Here is a 19,792-nt window from a genome sequence, read left to right as displayed (position 1 = left end):
GAGTTTCAGCTTTGACCTGGAGAAACTCTGTTTTTAAGCAAGTGGCAGAGTTCTGCCTGCATGCTGCCATAGCTGGTAGGCTTCTCCAAGCAGCAGCTGCCAGGCAGCCGAAGCACCCTGCTCACAACTTTCCATTATGGATTAAGCTGACTCTGCCAATCTCACTTTACTCAAGACACCAAACTGGACGCTTGCAAGACTAGTGCCTTGCAAATCTTTGAGATGCTTTTCTTATTATAGATGAAATATGAACATTGTGTTTAGGAGCAGGATCCAACAAATGCCAAAGGTATTTATGTAAGTCATTCAGCTTTAGTACAACAGTCTCTTGAGAATAAAGTCAAATCAGCTTTTAATAATTTCACCTTTCTGTTTTAGTTGCTGTTTCACATTTGTTTGTATAATATGCTAAATTCAAAATAAGCTGCTTTCTCAAAAATTTAATTAATATGTAAGGAATCAAGATTGGCTCCCAAATAGTACAACTCTTTGAAGTCAATTTTCTTAGGACTTCCATGTGGGCCAAAAGAAAGTTATTTAAGCCAAGTAAAATACATTAATTCACTTTCTATCACTTTTAATGCAATAGAGTGTCAGAAATTAACAAACAATTTTATTATTTTTTGTTAATTTTTAAACTTAAATATGGTAAAAATTTTGGTGACTTTTACTATATTGAATCAATAGAATTTTGATCTCAGTTGCTTGGTCTAGAAACCCTATCAATGCCATTTTTTAAATTGGTGTGGGAGCTTTTTTGAATTATTATTTCAAGATTTCAAACCTTCCATCCATTAGGGAAGCATTTGAGATACATGTAGGGAACATGTTTTGACATGTTGAGATAACCCATGGAAGCCAGCAATTTAGAGTTCAAGGGTAAGAATGGAAGAGCCTCAGATGATGGGGCTTACTGCCCCCTCATTTCACCCACCAGCCCCAGACACTTGTTCCCCATCCCGCTTCCTGCTCAGCCAAATGATTTGAAAATCAGTTGAACTGTGGACTAATAGATTACTTTGTAAAGACTCAAATGCCCTGGAAGGGGTGATGGTAGCCCAGGCCCATTTTATAAGCTTCAGTTCTTAATGAAATACCAACTTTAATCATTCTTAGTTACATTAATCCATTACATACAATGGAAATGTAAAATTATGATTAAGACCTAATCCTTTTCATCATGGAGTCTGGTTAGGACAGATGAAAAAGCAGTTATTACCCATTGGATTATCAGCACCTTGCTTAGGTAACGCATAGGAAGGGGTTGATCATAGCCTGGGGCTGGAGGCAGGTGTCTGCAGGCTGCATCCAGAGTGAGAACCAAAGGATGTGTGGGTGTTTTCCAGAAGATAGAGGTGGGTGCAAAGGACAGTGGACCATGTGTATTTGGGGTCTGGTAAAATGTACATTGTGGTTGGGAAAGAGTGCTAGGTGTAGGGTGTTGAGAGATGAGGAGGGTCTCTTGAACCTATAAGAGGGAGTTTGGACATTATCCCAAGGATAGGGGAAGGCTATTGATAGGTGTTAGGCAGAATTACATCATCATCTTTAGAAAGATCACTCTGGCTGCAGGTGGTATAGGGAATGGGGACAGTAAGGGGCAGTGAAACTGGAGACAGATTAAATAGTCACAGGCTGGGCACAGTGGCTCACGTCTTTAATCCCAGCACTTTGGGAGGCTGAGGCAGGAGGATCACTTGAGCCCAGGAGTTTGAGGCTGCAGTGAGCTATGATCACGCCACTGCATTCCATCTTGGGTGACAGAGCAAGACCCTGTCTCTAAAAATAAAAAAATAGTTATCTGCTAACTAGTGATCTAAGTGATAGCCTATGTGTTGGGCTAAGCTGTGGCAGTGGGATGGAAAGAAGCAAATGATTGAATGAGAGCCTCCCAAGCAGATTCACTAGGACCTGTGGCTGGTTGAGTTAAGCATGGTAAGCCTAGAAAAGGAGTCATCAGAGTGGCTCCAAGTTCCTGGCTTAGCCAACTAATGGATGGTGGTACTGTTTACTCAGAAGGATACCAGACAGGAAGGGACAGATTTAGGGAGGAAGATAAGTTTGGATTTTTGGCTTCTTGAATTTCAAGATGCTAGCCTAAAAGATAATGGGGGAAGATGTATTTGGAACTCAGAGATTTGAGCTGTGCTTGCAGAGCTTGGAGCCAAACCCTGGGAAAGACTTACGGGACATGCAGAGAAAGAGGAAATCCTTGTATGTAATACTAGACACAGCTCTTTTTAAGAAGTACAAGTAAAGCAGTTCTCACATTAAGTGACTAGGAATTTGTTGCCTTATGACAATGCAATTCAGGTATCTGAATTTCTATTCTTGAATTTGTGAAGTTATGCTTTCTAAGGTTTGTGCTCAAGGGACCTACCCAGTGAGCAAGCTCTGTTGGACTGTTTTTTTTTTTTTTTTTCTTTTCTTGGCAACCTACTGGAACAAAATATCACTCTCACAAATTATTATGCTAAAGAAACATCATTTGGCAAACATTTATTTAGTGCCAGCTCTGTCCAAATATGGCACTAGGCCCTGGGAATACAGAGATGAATAAGAAACAAAACCTGTCATTAAAAGCAAATACCCTACCAGGTTCACAGTACCTTTGTGCAACTGGCAGGTGCTATGAGGCTGCAGGTTGGAGGGACCCACTGAGAGGCACCTATGACCCATCCTGGGTGAGCTTGTCACAGGCACTTTCCTGGAGCTCTTTGCACCAGCAACACTCCTTGCCTGAATGCCTTCTCCCATGTCCCCCTCCTTGCCTAAGCCCTGTCAGTCCTTAGCGATTACACTCAAGTTCCATAGCAGGCATGGACTGCATTAAGAAATAAAATGTCTCTTCCAATAAGTAATTTTACACCTGATAACAGGAATGCTATCAATAGAGCATAGAAAATATATGTACAAATTTTATAATGCAAAAGGGAAAATTACTAGTGGTTTCTTTAAAAAGTTTAAAAAATTATTTCTACCTAGAGTCCATAAGATACAATTTTGGGTGGTAGCAGGATCTTATTAGCAGTATTTGTGTACAGAAACATTAAAGTTAGCAATTTGCAGTAAATGAATGTTTTGGCAGTGTTTCCAGATAAGGAAACAATGTAGATGCTGCTAGGTTTCCCTAAGGAAACAATGTAGATGCTGCTAGGTTTCCCCTAAGTGTGTTATGCACTGGTGCACATTGTTCTCTTCTTGTGGTCTGAGGTCAGTAATTTGGGTGATACCTTTTGGCTACACACAAAAAGACCCAACAGGTCTTGAGTGGTTACCTGCTGTGTGAATTTGACATCTGTCATCTCCTCTCATCCCCATGGCAACCCTGTGAGTTGGTAGGAAACTGAGGCATAGGAAATTCACATGGCAAGCACACGGCAGCGTCAGAGCCCCAAGCCCTTCCCCTCCACTGGGTTTTGAGAATTGGGATAGGAATTTTTTTTGAACCCATGTACCCTGCTTAGGCTCATAAAAGAAGATCTGTCTGGGAACAGTATTATTTAGTCATAGACTTCATTTGGCCACTGTTTCATTTAACAGACATTGTTCATTCAACAGCCACAAATCTTGTGAGCCAAACAATCATAAAAAGATAAGGTCAGTATAACATGGTAAATTCTAAGAAAAAAACCATGACAGTGCAAAAGAGGGAAGAACACTGAGGGCATATGGGGCTTACAGGGATGAGGCTGAGCCTGTGCAGGTGAAGAATGAGTGGAAGTTAGGGAGCAAACAGTGGCCAGTGTTGCATATTGGAGGAAGATCCTGAGCAAAGGTGGAGTGGAATGAAAGTGTACAGTGTGAGTTCCTGCAAGCAGTTGGATAGTGGAAGAACGCTTTCTCCAGGAGCGATCTGTCCGCCCACTGCAGCAGATCACAAGGGGTGCTTAAAATTCTCTAGTCCTCCACCCAGTACTGAATTAATGTTTCTTTGCATAAGGTCCAGAAACTTGCATTTGTTACAGACTTCTCAGGTTATTCTTGGGCACACTAAAATTTGGAAAGTGCATCGGGAGGATATGATAAGAAACAAAATTCCCAAGGTTTGGGAGCTGCATTTTCTGCTTTTGGCTTTGGGGAGTCTTCAAAGGCATTTGAGAAGGGAGCCATCTGCCTTTGAATGGATGGTCTGCCTGCTTCATGGAGAAAGAATTTAAGTGGGGCCAGGACCGGAGGCCTGGTCTGTGGAGGAGGTGATAAAAGACCCTGGTTGAGGGCAGGGTGGCAGAGACAAAAGGGATAAAATTAGCAGGACTTGATGGACTGCAAGTAGTGGGTTAGGAACAGAGGCAAGTCTGAGATGTTGTGTGGATGATACTCTAATACCCCTATTAAGGTTAATGAAAAAGGTTCATTCATTCCCAGTATATGGGTGATAAATTATTCAATTAGAAAATGTAGTGATTCATTCCCGGTATACGGCTGGTTGGGGAAATGGGGCGGGGGGCCAGTAAGGCTCCATCATTCATATGAAACAAGTACATATGAAACAAGTAATCTTTCTGGGTCTCTCTTTCTTATCAATGAAACGGGTGAGGAAGTGGAAAACTTGACCAGATTGTCACAGAAAACCTGAGTTTGGATCTCTACTCTTTTGTGAATTCCTCTCCTTTCGCCTGTTTTTGAACCTGACTTCACATAACAATACCAATGCTTCTTATAGAAATTATTCAGTTAGTAAATGTAGTGAGACAACATTGACATTTTACTTTTCCAACTCCAGATTTTTCCTCAATCAGAAGATGGTATAAAAGGGAAAATGTCATCCTGTATACTTCGGAACAAGATTATAGTTAGGACCCTCTAACCAAAATTAAAACCATTTTGAAGTAGCAGTAAACATTCCACGCACACAACTCACTTACCAGTTATTCTTGTTTATATCAGAAGTATTATCAATACTTACACACTTAGTACTGTGCTAGATGTGAATGGAGGAAAAAGCGTGGGCCTGACCCCCTCCGCCCCCCACAACGCACACACAAGCTTAGAGTCAATTAGAGAAAATGCATGTACATGGGAGGTAGTTAAAAAAATAACACGAAGCAATTCAGTCAGTCCCGTATTTGTTTATTAGTGCTCTGCCACATTCCATGAAGGTTTCATAGTTTATATAAACGTCAAAATGGCTAGTCTTCTAGGAATTAACAAAGGAGTGGATTGACTTGTTTATAAAGCAGTTCCAAAGACTTTTACTTGGCCTATAGCCTAGTGATATTTTGTTTTTGTTGTTTTTCATGGTACTGTGTGAATTTGACAGTAAAAGCATTTTGAAAAATTATTCTAACTCTTCGCTAGATCAGAGTAACTTTCAGCCCATTGTTGGAACTATGAAAATGTGATTCTAGAGTAAGTAGTCACTACTGTTTAATTCCGTAAGTGAAAACGAGGGCGAGAAGAACATATTGAAGGTTTTCTTTTCTTTTTTTCTTTAAACTTTTTAGTAATGAATCACTTTTGTGGTGTTAAAAGTTCAGCTACAAAACTTTATTGTTTAAAAGTTTTCTTTAAATTACAGTTGCTATATTTGTAACAGTTAAAGATGTGCCACTGTATTCAGCACCCAATGACAACATGTTAAAGATACTTCAAGGGAAATAGAAGGCATACACCAACAAAGGGAAAAAACAAAACAAGCCTCAGACAGGCACCCCGCTCCCCATAAACAGTGTCTATGTAAATATGCATATGTGGCTGTGGTTAAAAGAAAAACTTTAGCCAAATTTAACAGAGTTTAATTGAGCAAAGAACAATTCGCACATCAGGCAGCCACCCGAGCCAGAGTGGGTACAGAGATTCCAGTGCAGCTGTGTAGTTGAAGAAGGGTTATAGACAGAAGAAGGAAAGTGAGGTACAGAAACAGCTGATTGGCTACAGCTCGTCATTTGCCTTATTTGAACACGGCTCGAATCGTTGACCCCCTTTGATTGGCCCAAAACTCAGTGATTGACACAAGAGTAAGCTACAATCTGTATACAACTCCATTTAGGTTATAGTTCGTGGTGTGCAGAGAAACCTTTAGGCTGAATGTAAAATATGTAAGGAGGCAGCTTTAGGCTACACTTAACACCCTAAAGAAATACTGAATAATGAGAAAAAGGGAGAAATATTAGAAAGACGAGGTGAATAAAGAAGGTCCCGGTATGATTAGTGTGTCTGGTGCCAGGAAGAGTTGCTCTGGAATGACTTCGTAAAGAAGTTGGTCCTTCGGCAACATTTTAAAGGGAAGCTAAGGGAAGATTTGTTCACAGTGGATCGAAATTTTACCAGGTGGGAGAAGACCCCATCTAATGATGTACAGCCCGAGGAGAAAAAAACCCCCTCAAAGGCAGTAAAGGTCACCAGTGTTCATTATTTGTGGGCAGTGTCGTCTTCGTGGCTTTTTGTAATAGGTCTTAATTTTAGCTTCATAGCCTGTTTAATCTTCTCCTGATATTCTGGGTTGATGTTTCGTAATGGCTCCCATTGCCAGTAGTAGAACCTGAAAACAAGGATCTTTCATATGCACACAGGTCTCTCGTGCCTTCATTCTACCACCAGGAAAAACATCCAGAAAGGTAATAAATTTGTGGAGAACAGCAGTGGTATGACTACTCATATTTCTGAAAATGAATGCTGTTGTAGGAAAGTTAGGAAAGTGGTGGAGATATTAGCTACAGCCCTACTGTCAGATTTGTACCCTGTAGCTTCATCCTCTTTTGAAAAGTCTTACAACAAACCCACCTGGATTTTGCGTTGCAGTGCCGTCGAGTACAGCTGAGTCATGGCAAGAGAAGAGGACAATTAGATAAGGGGTGCCTGACTATTAAAGGATCTGAAAAGCACTAACCAGGGTATTATGCAACACACAAGTGGAAACCGTTTCAGAGTGCCGAGGAAGTTATTAACAGGAGCAAAACAACATGTGAGGAGAGTGATTTTAGCTACAGTGCTCAAGGTAGATTGCAAGCAGCAGAAGTTGGGGATGAGATCATAAAGGACATGAATAAATGCATCTAGGCAATAAAGAACTGCACCCTTGAAATTTGTAAAGGAAAACCCATCTTGTATACAACAACCAGCTGTATACAAGGGAGTTAACGTTCTAAGGATGTGAGTACAATTAGCTAAGAGCATAAGTGGCACCATAAAGGCTGATGGAGACATTATGGGGAGAAAGATAGTGAATCTGATGTGTGGACATTCAAGGTGATAGATAAAAAGATAACATGAGTTTCAAGTAAGAACAGTACTTTGAAGCCTTGAGCACTTAGCAGCTTCCCGAGGATATGAATACATCAAAATTGGAGATTGGCACTGGCATTTATAACAGCAATTATTAGGAAAGTGAGTAGAGGGGGCTGGAATAGAGAAATCTCTAAAGAAGAGGCAGAGATGATGACCTGTGTGTGGAAAGAAGCAGAGAATTATTTTTGTGCTACTATTAAGACAAAATGCTAGACAAGGTTCAATTGTTGTTATAAATGTAATTTCTCTATATAATTTCATCATCTAAAATCAAATTAGCAAGTACTTTTTATTTAAGGGGTAATAAGAGTAGTCATCACACTATCTAGATAGCCACACACTATCAAAGCTTTAACTCTTCATGTTGACTCTGACTACGTTTATATAAAAGAATGAAATTCACATCTATAACTTTCTTTGCCTTAGAAAAGGCATTTTCCAGTTTTTATTAGTTGTGTGCAAAATGGAGCAAAAGAATGAGCACATGGCTGACATGAAGATATTTGTCTTACCAGTTAAGCAGTGTGAAAACTTTGCAATGACTAATTTCAGGCCCCAAATGCAGTGGTCTGGGGCTGTACCTCTGGGAGGACATTACTAGGCATTTTAACTGCATGGAGTCGGTAGGGCAAAGAACAGTGAGTGAGTTAAGAGTCCCGCGAAGCACACTTGGATGCAGCTTGAGAACAAGAGCAAGGGGAGCTGAGGGTCTGTTTTGTGTTATGTTCTGTGGTACCATCTGTATCTTTATGTTCCTTGGTCCCTGCTGGAACTTGTCACATGTTTACTCTGTTTGACGTCCCTCTCTGGTTTGTAATAGAGAATCTACATAGTCTCCAAAGCTGGTCGGGAGTGCAGTCCAGCTGCAAATCTTTGGTGATGGCAAGTCCCTGCTTGAGAGGACTCCTTGCCCGTCGGAGTCTGATCAACCCTGCTCCTGCAAAGAAACAGCCAGGTGTTGGGTGTGTTTGATGAAGTACAAGAGTCTCTGTTGGGCAGTCTGATTTTTCTGTTAAGAAAATACTAGTTATATGAATGTTCTGCTGTAGTCCACCAGCAGTTTTTTTTACTGTTCATCAAACATGAAAATATGTAAAGATAAAAATATTTTTACTAAATGATGAACAAATGAGTCAAAATATAAAATTGTTTATGTCCTGAACTCTTCAGGTATCAATTTCTCCTGCAAAATCATAGCTTGCATTGGCTTATGCCTTATACTTTCTGTCTATACGTGGACTTCGAGTTAGCCAGAGATGTAAAAGTTTTAAGTTTTCAAGCCATGGAGGTTAAGAAGGGATTTCTTGGATATATTTATTAGCTTGATTTAATAATTCTGCAGTGTATCCATATATCAAAGCATCACGTTATACGCTATAAATATATACAATATTTATTTGTCAATTATATCTTAAGTTGAGAAAGGGAAGAGGGATTTCTTGGTAGAAAAAAATGAAATTTTTAGGCAAGCTGATATATTTGCAGGCCCTGAATCAAGCAGCTATAAAGACCTTTAAGAATTTAAAATAGGCTTTGCATAACTGGATTTTCTCATGACATTTTGAAGAACTTTTTTCCTTTGAGTTTTCTGTTCCTCCTTTCCCCATTCATTGCATCACTATGATTAATATGATATTCTGCTCACTTAAATTCTAAATAACTTTTAGAAGCCTGAATAAATACTGAACTAGTGAACTTTAAAGCCAGATAGAGTTGCTATAAAATATTTTTCCCAATAGTTAAGCATAAATCTAAAGCAAGTTAGGATCATTTTTAATGAGAACTAACTTTGGGTTTGTACCCAGAATAAAATGTTTGCTTATACCACTCTGGGAAAGAAAGCGATAATTATGAATAGGTCATTTTTAGATGTCAGTGGCTTACTTTATGCTTATTAGTATATACTATATAGCTAATAAAAATAACTCTGTTTTCTATACCTTGCACGGGACCCAGCACAGTTACCAAGACATTATAGGCACTCCAAATACTTGGTTTTGATTTATCTCCTTTGAGTTAATATTCTTCCTTGGAGATTTAGAATAGGCAGTATTAGGCTAAGATTTAATCGGGTTTCTGATAGTTCATCTATTAGCCCAATACTCCGTGTGTGTGTGTGTGTGTGTGTGTGTCCTTACTGAGATTGCTACATACCAGGTTGTTCCCTTTCGTGGAAATGGTGATTATTCGTAACTGAAAGTCCTTTGTGGTTAGTGATAGTGATTTCACAGGACTCGGGTAAAACACACACGCAACGCCTGAGTGGTTTGAGCTAAAACCAATGAGTTGCAGTTTTGGAGGTTTTCTTGACTCATGACCTGGGGACTGTACCCACTCCTTGAACAGGTTTCAGATCAAGGCCTAGGAGCAAGAACCCGAGAGACCCATCTGCAGGCAAGCTGCAAGAGAATATCCTGCTTTTCCTCAGGATACTAGCCCTGCCCTCTGTTTAGGGCCAAGAATGCCAGAAAGACTCTGGGACCTTATTAAACTGAGCTGAGGGGGGAGATTTTATTCAAGTGTTGTCTATGAGATCTGTTAAGCCTTAGATTTCTTACCCAGAAAATGGGATGATTTGGTACTCAGCTCACAGGAGTTTAGGAGAATTAAATGAGATCAAGTATATGTGAGTGCCCTTGGCACAGTGAGTAGCACTTAGTAGGTGCTAAATAAACTGTTACAGCCAACAATTGTTAAATATTTTCATGCCAAGTATTGTGAAAAGACAGTGTTCGTCCTCAGAGTGTTCTGGGCTGAGAAATTGAGAAAGCCAGCGTATAATATATGAGGTGATGAGAGCTGTGATATAGCAAAGAACTATATGTACACACATATAGAACTATATACACACACACACATATAGTCACATGGGTGACTATATCATCAATGTATACATGAGCCCAGCAGAGGGTCCCTAATCACTTAGAGGAACCAAGAGACCTTCTAGAGACTTGAGTCTTGAGCAGGGCCTGAAGGAAACCAGTAGGAGTTTCTAGAAATAGAAAGGGGAGAAAAGCTTTCCAAGCAGAGGGACCTGCAAGGGCAAAAGCATGGAGGATTAGGAGCTCTCATTTGTTTCTTCCCTGCTAAAGTGCTATTGTCATTCAAACTTATGTAGGTCCAGGGCACAGAGAAGCAGCATGTGTGGTTAGTGGTAAAGCACACACTCTGTGCCACCAGACAGTCGTTTAGACCCTGGCCCTGCCAATGCTGTGAGTTGGGCAGATGGCCTAACTGTTCCACGTCTCAGGCTCCCTCATCAGCAAAATGGGAAAAGAACAGCAATAGCTACTCAGAGGACCATTGTGAAAATTTAAAGAGTCAATAAATTTAAAGTAGAAAGTGGACACTAAATATTTCATGTTAGAGTAAATGTTGTGATCATTTGAACCAGCATTTTCCAAATGCCTGCTCTGTGTAAAGCAAGTACACATTTTGGTGCCTTGGGAGAAACCAAAATGAAAAAGATACGGACTCTATCCTTCAGGAAATTTATAACCAAGAGACAGATGAATATGTAAACAACTAGCAATGCAGCTTGAAGTTAAATAATAGCTACGTGGAGGTTCAGACAATGTGTGGGAGCATCACCAAAAAAGAAATTTGTTCTGAGGAAGAGGAAGAATTCTTGTGAGAAGAGAGATTGTTGTAGAATTTGTGCCTAGTGCTCATTTTGACTTGCTTTGTCTTGGTAGTACGTGAATCAGGACAGGGACATCCGGGCCTGCTTTTGGCCCTGTTTCCTCACCGTGGCCGACTTTGTCTTGGCTTGTCTCTGGTCTACCTGGACAGTGTTCAAATGCTTCACTTAGAAATGAAGCTCGAGAGGTGAATAAGGTAGGTTTGATTTATCAGTTTTATTACTCAGCTGCTTGAGAGAAGTGCAGAAAGAGCAGGAGCTGAGGGCAGGTGGCACGTGGGGAACTTTATCTTCAATGAGAAGAAATCAGGCTACAGAGAAGTCCCCAGGCCCTAGCTGTAGAGCACATTCACATAATTGCCCTTGTGGCCATTCATGCTCCTGCCTCCCACATTCAGAGGAGTTCCCTCAGGTGTGCAGGATTTTCCCCCACCACCAGCCCCCAAGGACAGACCAGAGTGACGCCTGCATTGTGTTTTGGAAGTCGGGGCTGAGATGAAGGCAGCCCTTTCCTGCAGTGAAGGGGGACCCTGGTCTGCGCTCTACAAAAGAGACACCCCATGCCCAACCTAGGGGCTGCTGGCTCTTGAGTGGGAGGTTGGTGTCAATTGGCCCCCGGTGTCTTTGTCTTCCAAAAGTTGGGTCCAGACTATCCTATTTTTGCCAGAAATATCTCACAGGCAGTGGTCCAAGCCTGGCATAGTCTCATAGTTTCAGCTCTGATAAAGTGCCCTCCCCTCTTTATGGTCAGTCTGGTCCTGGAAGGAGAAGTGGTAAGTCAACTCTAATTCAGTTATGGTTGCCAGAAATCAAAGAAGTGAATGTGAGCTGCATCACCAAGTATTACAGAAGGCAGAAAAGGCAAAGCATGCCTATAAAATCTTTAACATGACAGCCTGGTTTTTACTCAGAGAAATTTAGGGAATTATTTTGAAATATTTCTGCATGATGGGGTAGTGGTTCGTTCAGCTGTGCAACTTGAGATCTTGGTTCTGTCACTTTAAGTGGCCTTGAGCAACCGGTTTCACCTCTCCAAGCCTTAGTTTCCCCATCTGTAAAATGGGCATGATAGTTAGTGGCACCTCCTCACAGGGTTAGAATGAGTGCTTAATGAATTGGTGTGTGTTAAGTGTTTGGAACGGTGCCCAACGCTAGTAAACTCTGTGCAGGTGGAGCTCTTACTCTTATGGGGTCACATCAAGAGATTTTTGGTGAATTTGTTTTCCTGCTGCCACACTGGGCCTATCCAAGGATATAATAGTGTCTTTGAGGCATTATCCAAGGCTTTTGTGAAATACAGGTCATAATATATATTTTTTCAGTTACTAGATTAGTAGTAGAAGTTCATTGGCTCTCAGGTCTCTGAGAAAGATAGCTGTACAGGTTCCTACCCAAATTCTGGAAAAGAGTAAATTATTTTCTCCTAATACTTTGCATACAAATATGAGGAAGAATCCCAGCCTGTGGTTTGTATGACCACACCTCTGTTTGACGTTCCCAAAGGCTGCTCTAGGGTGTGTGCAAACTGTGGCTATAAAGACAGATTTCTTTGATGGAGGCTTCCTTTTTAAAACTCAGACCAGCCTGATTCACCCCTGCCTGCCATCTGCTATGAAGTTTAAACAGCTTTGAGCTGAACACCTGTGTCTTTGTCTTGCTTTTTGCCTTGCTAAACAGGACTTGATTGGATTTCCCTTTTCAACACAATTGCCCACCTACACATCTACATTTCTGTGTTGCTACCTCATATGGCTTTGATCAACCTGTTCAGAAGAAATAGCCAGAATTTAAAGTATGAGAAAATAACATTAAAGTTAGGTAGGAAATTCTCCTTACACTACTTTTCTGTTTGTTTGTTTTTTAACAGCAGTGTGAAACGTCTGTGTTAAGATTATTAAAATATCTTCATTTTACCCGTTTGTAAGTGTGTCTGTTTAGGCTTTAAGGAAATAACTGAAGCCATTCTTTTCCCCCATATGCAGCTGGGTAACTTGTAATCTGCAAAATGGCATCAGAAGAATTAGGTAAAACACAGGAAACACAGGGAGCTAGAAGTCAGTGACCACAGACCCCTCCGCAGTGTGTATTAGTGGCAGTTCATGGAAGACCTAGACCAAGCCCCTTGCTTATTGGCCGTTTGATGTCGCTTCCTTGAGTAGACACTGCTGGGTATTCAGGGGGTTCCAAGTGAGCATGGAATAATGCCAGCGCTCAAGTGGCATATTAGTTAGTAGTGGAACATTCCACATCACTGTGATACAAGGTGGAGAGTAAGTGCCATGTGGGAATCAGTTGTGTTTTTCAGAACGTTTTTTTCTGTTTAATTTTTTATTATTATTATACTTTTAAGTTCTAGGGTACATGTGCACAACGTGCAGGTTTGTTACATATGTATACATGTGCCATGTTGGTGTGCTGCACCCATTAACTCGTCATTTACATTAAGTATATCTCCTAATGCTATCCCTGCCCCCTCCCCCACCCCACGACAGGCCCTGGGGTGTGATGTTCCCCACTCTGTGTACAAGTGTTCTCATTGTTCAATTCCCACCTATGAATGAGAACATGTGGTGTTTGGTTTTCTGTCCTTGCGATAGTTTGCTGAGAATGATGGTTTCCAGCTTCATCCATGTCCCTACAAAGGACATGAACTCATCCTTTCTTATGGCTGCATAGTATTCCATGGTGTATATGTGCCACATTTTCTTAATCCAGTCTATCATTGATGGACATTTGGGTTGGTTCCAAGTCTTTGCTATTGTAAATAGTGCCACAGTGACATTTGCGTTGGTTCCAAGTCTTTGCTATTGTCAATAGTACCACAGTAAACATACTTGTGCATGTGTCTTTATAACAGCATGATTTATAATCCTTTGGGTATATACCCAGTAATGGGATGGCTGGGTCAAATGGTATTTCTAGTTCTAGATCCTTGAGGAATCGCCACACCGACTTCCACAATGGTTGAACTAGTTTACAGTCCCACCAACAGTGTAAAAGTGTTCCTATGTCTCCACATCCTCTCCAGCACCTGTTGTTTCCTGACTTTTTAATGATCGCCATTCTAACTGGTGTGAGATGGTATCTCATTGTGGTTTTCATTTGCATTTCTCTGATGGCCAGTGATGATGAGCATTTTTTCATGTGTCTGTTGGCTGCATAAATGTCTTCTTTTGAGAAGTGTCTGTTCATATCCCCACTTTTTGATAAGGTTGTTTGATTTTTTCTTGTAAATTTGTTTAAGTTCTTTGTAGATTCTGGATATTAGCCCTTTGTCAAATGGGTAGATTGTAAAAATTTTCTCCCATTCTGTAGGTTGCCTAGTCACTCTGATGGTAGTTTCTTTTGCTGTGCAGAAGTTCTTTAGCTTAATTAGATCCCATTTGTCAATTTTGGCTTTTGTTGCCATTGCTTTTGGTGTTTTAGTCATGAAGTCCTTGCCCATGCCTATGTCCTGAATGGTATTGCCTAGGTTTTCTTCTAGGGTTTTTATGGTTTTAGGTCTAACATGTAAGTCTTTAATCCATCTTGAATTAATTTTTGTATAAGGTGTAAGGACGGGATCCAGTTTCAGCTTTCTGCATATGCCTAGCCAGTTTTTCCAGCATCATTTATTAAATAGGGAATTTTTTCCCCATTTCTTGTTTTTGTCAGGTTTGTCAAAGATCAGATGGTTGTAGATGTGTGGTATTATTTCTGAGGGCTCTGTTCTGTTCCATTGGTCTATATCTCTGTTTTGGTACCAGTACCATGCTGTTTTGGTTACTGTAGCTTGGTAGTATAGTTTGAAGTCAGGTAGCGTGATGCCTCCAGCTTTGTTCTTTTGGTTTAGGATTGTCTTGGCAATGTGGGGTCTTTTTTGGTTCCATATGAACTTTAAAGTAGTTTTTTCCAATTCTGTGAAGAAAGTCATTGGTAGCTTGATGGGGATGGCATTGAATCTATAAATTACCTTGGGCAGTATAGCCATTTTCACAACATTGATTCTTCCTATCGGTGAGCATGGAATGTTCTTCCATTTGTTTGTGTCCTCTTTTATTTTGTTGAGCAGTGGTTTGTAGTTCTTCTTGAAGAGGTCCTTCACATCCCTTGTAAGTTGGATTCCTAGGTATTTTATTCTCTTTGTAGCAATTGTGAATGGGAGTTCACTCATGATTTGGCTCTCTGTCTGTTATTGTGTATAGGAATGCTTGTGATTTTTGCCATTGATTTTTTATCCTGAGACTTTGCTGAAGTTGCTTATCAGCTTAAGGAGATTTTGGGCTGAGATGATGGGGTTTTCTAAATATACAATCATGTCATCTGCAAACAGGGATAATTTGACTTCCTCTTTTCCTTTATTTCTTTCTCTTGCCTGATTGTCCTGGCCAGAACTTCCAACACTCTGTTGAATAGGAGTGATGAGAGAGGGCATCCCTGTCTTGTGCCAGTTTTCAGAGGGAATGCTTCCAGTTTTTGCCCATTCAGTATGATATTGGCTGTGAATTTTAGACCAATATCCCTGATGAACATCGATGCAAAAATCCTCAATAAAATACTGGCAAACCAAATCCAGCAGCACATCAAAAAGCTTATCCACCACGATCAAGTTGGCTTTATCCCTGGGATGCAAGGCTGGTTCAGCATATGCAAATCAACAAATGTCATCCATCACATAAACAGAACCAAAGACAAAAACCACATGATTATCTCAATAGATGCAGAAAAGGCCTTCAACAAGATTCAGCAGCCCTTCATGCTAAAAACTCTCAATAAACTAGGTATTGATGGGACGTATCTCAAAATAATAAGAGCTATTTCAGAACATTTTAAGTGCTAAGTAATGTTCGTAAGGGCAAAAGGCTTATCCATGCGGCAGCATCAGGAAAGGTCATGGGGAAAGGGGAGTTAGAATTGGATCTTGAACCATGACAAGGATTTAGGCAGGTAGAAATGGGGAGAGAGTGTGCTAAGTAGAGCAAAGAGGATGAGAAAAGGGCACCAATACAGGTGCTGGGGGCACCAGCAGCACTGTGGGAACACCAGTTCTTAGTGTGCTACTGCAGGGTTATGTTTATTGCACATTTTTCATTTAAATACCTTTAGAATTGTCTCTGCTTATTTTTCAGTCAAAGCATTAATCACCATTATTAATATGTTAGCCCGTCTGTTCTCGCTAAGGTGGTGTTACCTTTCTCTGAAGAAGGTCATGCTGTAGCTAGTGGTGTCAGTGGGTTGGACGCAGGCATTGCCAGACTGCAATGGTGTTAAGCCACAGTAGCCATTTCCTATTAATCACGTAAAGAAATGAAAATCAAATCTGACTGGACTGTTGCTCCATTTTCTCAAAACAGGAAGGTTTCTATAGAAAACGTCCTTTCCCGTTACTGAAGGTTGCCTGGTTTACAAGGTCCTGTGGTTTTAGTACAGATGTGTTTCCTTGGACTAGTTTGCTTGTATCTTTCAGAGTTTATGCTGCAGCTTCCCCACTCCCTTCACAGATGGGTGAGCCCATATTGGCCCAGCACTAAACTCTTAGGTAAAGTCTTCACTCCATGCACAAAAGAAGGGCATAGTTTGAGTGTCATTTTTAAGGCCAAGTCAGCTCTCTACATACTTAAAATATCTACAAGCTTTTACCTGAAATGTGCAAACAAAAGGTTATTCAAATAACTGAAGACTGTTACAGTTACATAAGTCTGTGGTTTCACACCTTCTGTTTATTTAGTATTAGGTTGGTGCAAAAGTAATTGCTATTTTTGCGCCAACCTAATTAATTGCAAAAACTGCAGTTACTTTTGCACCAACCTTGGTATTTACCAAAGATGACATGCATTCATCTCTCTTGAGAAATTGTCCATGGGCTTAACTCTGTGTTTCACCTTCCTAGTAAAGCATTTCCTTGACTATTCCTGTGCTCCTTAACTATCCTTTCCTTCTCCCTCTTGCGTTTTCTTGTCTTCTGCCCACATTTGCCATTCCTGCCCAACCCCATTTTCTTACTCTTCCCACCTCCCCACTTATAGACTGTGATCCTCTGTCCTTCTGGATGTCTGGCTCTACTTTCCCCATTTTCACCCCAAAGTCGTTCATCAATCTAGTTCATTTACTGGATGTTAATTGAGAGCTTACTCCTTGCTGATGACATGCATGCTGTTGAAGAAATGGGTTTTCAGAGGCAGCCCTTGGGTGAGACAAATAAGTACACAGCCAATTGCAAGGCATAAGTGCTGGTGCAGCTGAAATTCTGCTGCAGAGGGTGGCAGAGGCTTAGCAACCCACGGAGGATGGGAAGATGAAACCTGTCCTCGCCAAAGCCCCTCCTGGGGCTGCTTTTCCACCCGCCTCCATCTGCCCTCTTCTCCATGGCATTCAGTACAGACCTCTGTTTTGGTGTAATACTTATTAGACAATATTGTACTGAGTCCAGCCAGTTCTCTTTAATAATTGTATACCTTGCAGATAGAACACATCCAATAAATTGTGACTTCCCTGGAGTTAATTTTCTTTGCAGTAAAGCGAGACTGGTGACTTAGAATTGTTGTCAAGGGTTTTCTAGCTGAAAAAAAAAAATATTGTCAGCTAAAACAAGTACATATTTGTATTGAAAACGACATAGATGTTTTCTCTTTAGTTTGTGATTATAGGGACATAGTTTGAAAGTGAATTTCTTCAATAAGATTAATTTCCAAAAAAAAAGTTATTTTGTTTCATTTTTGCTGGTTTTGAATGCAACTGTTTGTTACCAGTGCCAAAACAGTGGATGTGAATGAAATGTATAGTCAGACGGAAATTTCACGTCACTGAGTGGAATTTCACCCTTCTTTAAAAGTCTCCGCTTTCTGCCTTAAAAAAAAAAAAAAGAAACTAGACTAATTGTTAAATTGTATGTGCAAACTAATGCAATTTAGTGACCTTCTCAAAAATCATTTTGAAGTGATTTCAAGAATTCTAAGAAAAAGATCTAGGCTGTTTCTAAATTTAGTAGCCCATGATTTTTAAAGATTTCAACCCTAGGTCCTTGGGGCTCATAACAATCAGTAGATAACCTTTTTTCCTTAACATTACAAGAAAAAATGTAATTTTTAACTCACAGTAATTTTTTTTTTTTTTGAGACAGAGTCTCGCTCTGTTGCCCAGTCCGGAGTGCAATCTTGGCTCACTGCAACCTCTGCCTCCCAGGTTCACGCGATTCTCGTGTCTCCGCCTCCCAAGTAGCTGTGTTTACAGGCACGCATCACCATGGCTAATTTTTGTATTTTTAGTAGAGACAGGGTTTCACCATGTTGGCCAGGCTGGTCTCAAACTACTGACCTCAGGTGATCCACCCGCCTCAGCCTCCCAAAGTGCTGGGATTACAGGTGTGAGCAACTGTGCCCAGCCAACTTGCAGTAATTCTTATTAAACCATATCTAATGCATGCAAGAGCTCCAAAAGCATTACTGGGTTTTCTCCACCACAAGTGGCTGTTTCAGCTCTTGAGAGTTGTAAATTAAAAGTAGCTCCCTGTTAGCCTAGGGTTCTATCTCCTACATAGACTCTTGTCATTACAGGTGTTGTGTGAGTCTTCAAAAGCCTGCCTTGATTATTTTTTCCATTTTATTTTCCATTTTCTTGGGAAATGATTGTGTTTTATAAGCTTAATTCAGTTTGGCAAATATTTTTCACTTACTGTTTGGGCAAGCCCTGGAAGGCACTTTAGGAAGATCAAACATACACACCATTTAACTAACCATCAATGTAAGAAAGACTGTACCAAGTAAAAATTTTAAAGCCAGATTATTTTATTTCTGCTTTCATGAATTTCCAGTGTAATGGAGAAGATAAGAGAAATAAGTAAGCATGTATCTGGCCAATTACTTATATGTTTTATAGAGTTACAGACATAATTATAAATCAGGTAGGTTAGGGAGATACAAGTTTCATTTAAGAAATGAACTGTAGGGGAAGGTAGTGGGGAAGAGAGGGATCAGGAGAGGTTGGCCAATGGGTACAAAGTTACAGTTAGGAAGAATAAGTTCTGGTGTTTTGTTGTACAGTAGGGTGCCTCTGGCAAACAACAATGTAGTGTATACTTTTAAGATAGCTAGAAGAGAAGATTTTGAATGTTATCACCACTAAGAAATGATCAATGTTTAAAGTAGTAAATACAGTAATGACCATGATTTGATCATCATGCAATGTATACACTCATTGAAACATCACACTGTACCCCATAAATGTGTACAATCATTATGTCAATTATAAATATTAAAAATTAATTTTAAGAAGAAACGCAGAAAAAAATGTTAACAGTGTTCTAAAGGAAGGGACAGTTGCATCGGAAAGACTTGGAAATGTGTAAGGTGACAGTCAAGAGAAATGGGAGTTTATGGTGACCGAGTAGGATATGGATCAAGGTAACCACCAGCAATGGGTGTGAAGCATTGCATATGAAAGGCTAGTTAACAGGATGTATTTTAAATAGACCAGGTTCTTGCCCTGTATTTACAAGTGATGATTTTTAAAACATTTAACTTTCCGTATTTTTTGCATAAATGATACATGTTCATGGTTCAAAATTTTAAAGTACAAAATGGTATAGACTGAGTGATAAATCTCCTCCTCACTCCAGCTGACCAAATCCTTTCCCTGAAGGCAGTGAAGTATCTTCATAAAACTTTTTCTGTTATTTACATATATAGAAATATGTTTTATCCTCTTTGATGCAGATGGTTACATGCTCCAAGTCCATAATTGCTATCCAAAACTTTTTGGGTCCAGATATGTTTTAGAATTCAGAACTGGATTTTAGAAAAGCAACATGTTGCATATAATGCAGATTACATAATATCCCCAGGGGGTCTGAGCACACCAAGTAATCAGACACATTAATTCTCCAGGGAAACTGAATAATCACACTAGGTGGGATAAAGAAGAATCATAAATAGCCTCATGTCAGTT

At 40.2% G+C, this 19,792-nt stretch overlaps 1 protein-coding gene across 5 annotated transcripts in view, besides 2 other annotated features; it reads left to right on the top strand.

Annotated features, from left to right (window-relative positions):
- Positions 1 to 19,792, top strand: part of JPH1 (junctophilin 1) — an 86,841-nt gene that overhangs the window by 16,159 nt on the left and 50,890 nt on the right. The window lies entirely within an intron of this gene.
- Positions 3,813 to 4,314: an enhancer, noted in NCBI's record as "H3K27ac hESC enhancer chr8:75213303-75213804 (GRCh37/hg19 assembly coordinates)". NCBI's record gives its function as "activates a minimal SCP1, AML or CMV promoter by ChIP-STARR-seq in naive H9 embryonic stem cells {active_cell/tissue: H9 hESC(naive)}" and the evidence as "EXISTENCE:reporter gene assay evidence [ECO:0000049][PMID:30033119]".
- Positions 9,485 to 9,624: a silencer, noted in NCBI's record as "silent region_19299". NCBI's record gives its function as "represses an Ori minimal core promoter by ATAC-STARR-seq in GM12878 lymphoblastoid cells {active_cell/tissue: GM12878}" and the evidence as "EXISTENCE:reporter gene assay evidence [ECO:0000049][PMID:35858748]".

Source organism: Homo sapiens, chromosome 8 (assembly GCF_000001405.40).
Source record: "Homo sapiens chromosome 8, GRCh38.p14 Primary Assembly".
NCBI lineage: Eukaryota > Metazoa > Chordata > Mammalia > Primates > Hominidae > Homo > Homo sapiens.
Note: the sequence above shows the minus strand (reverse complement) of the source record. Positions and strands in the feature narration are given on the sequence as shown.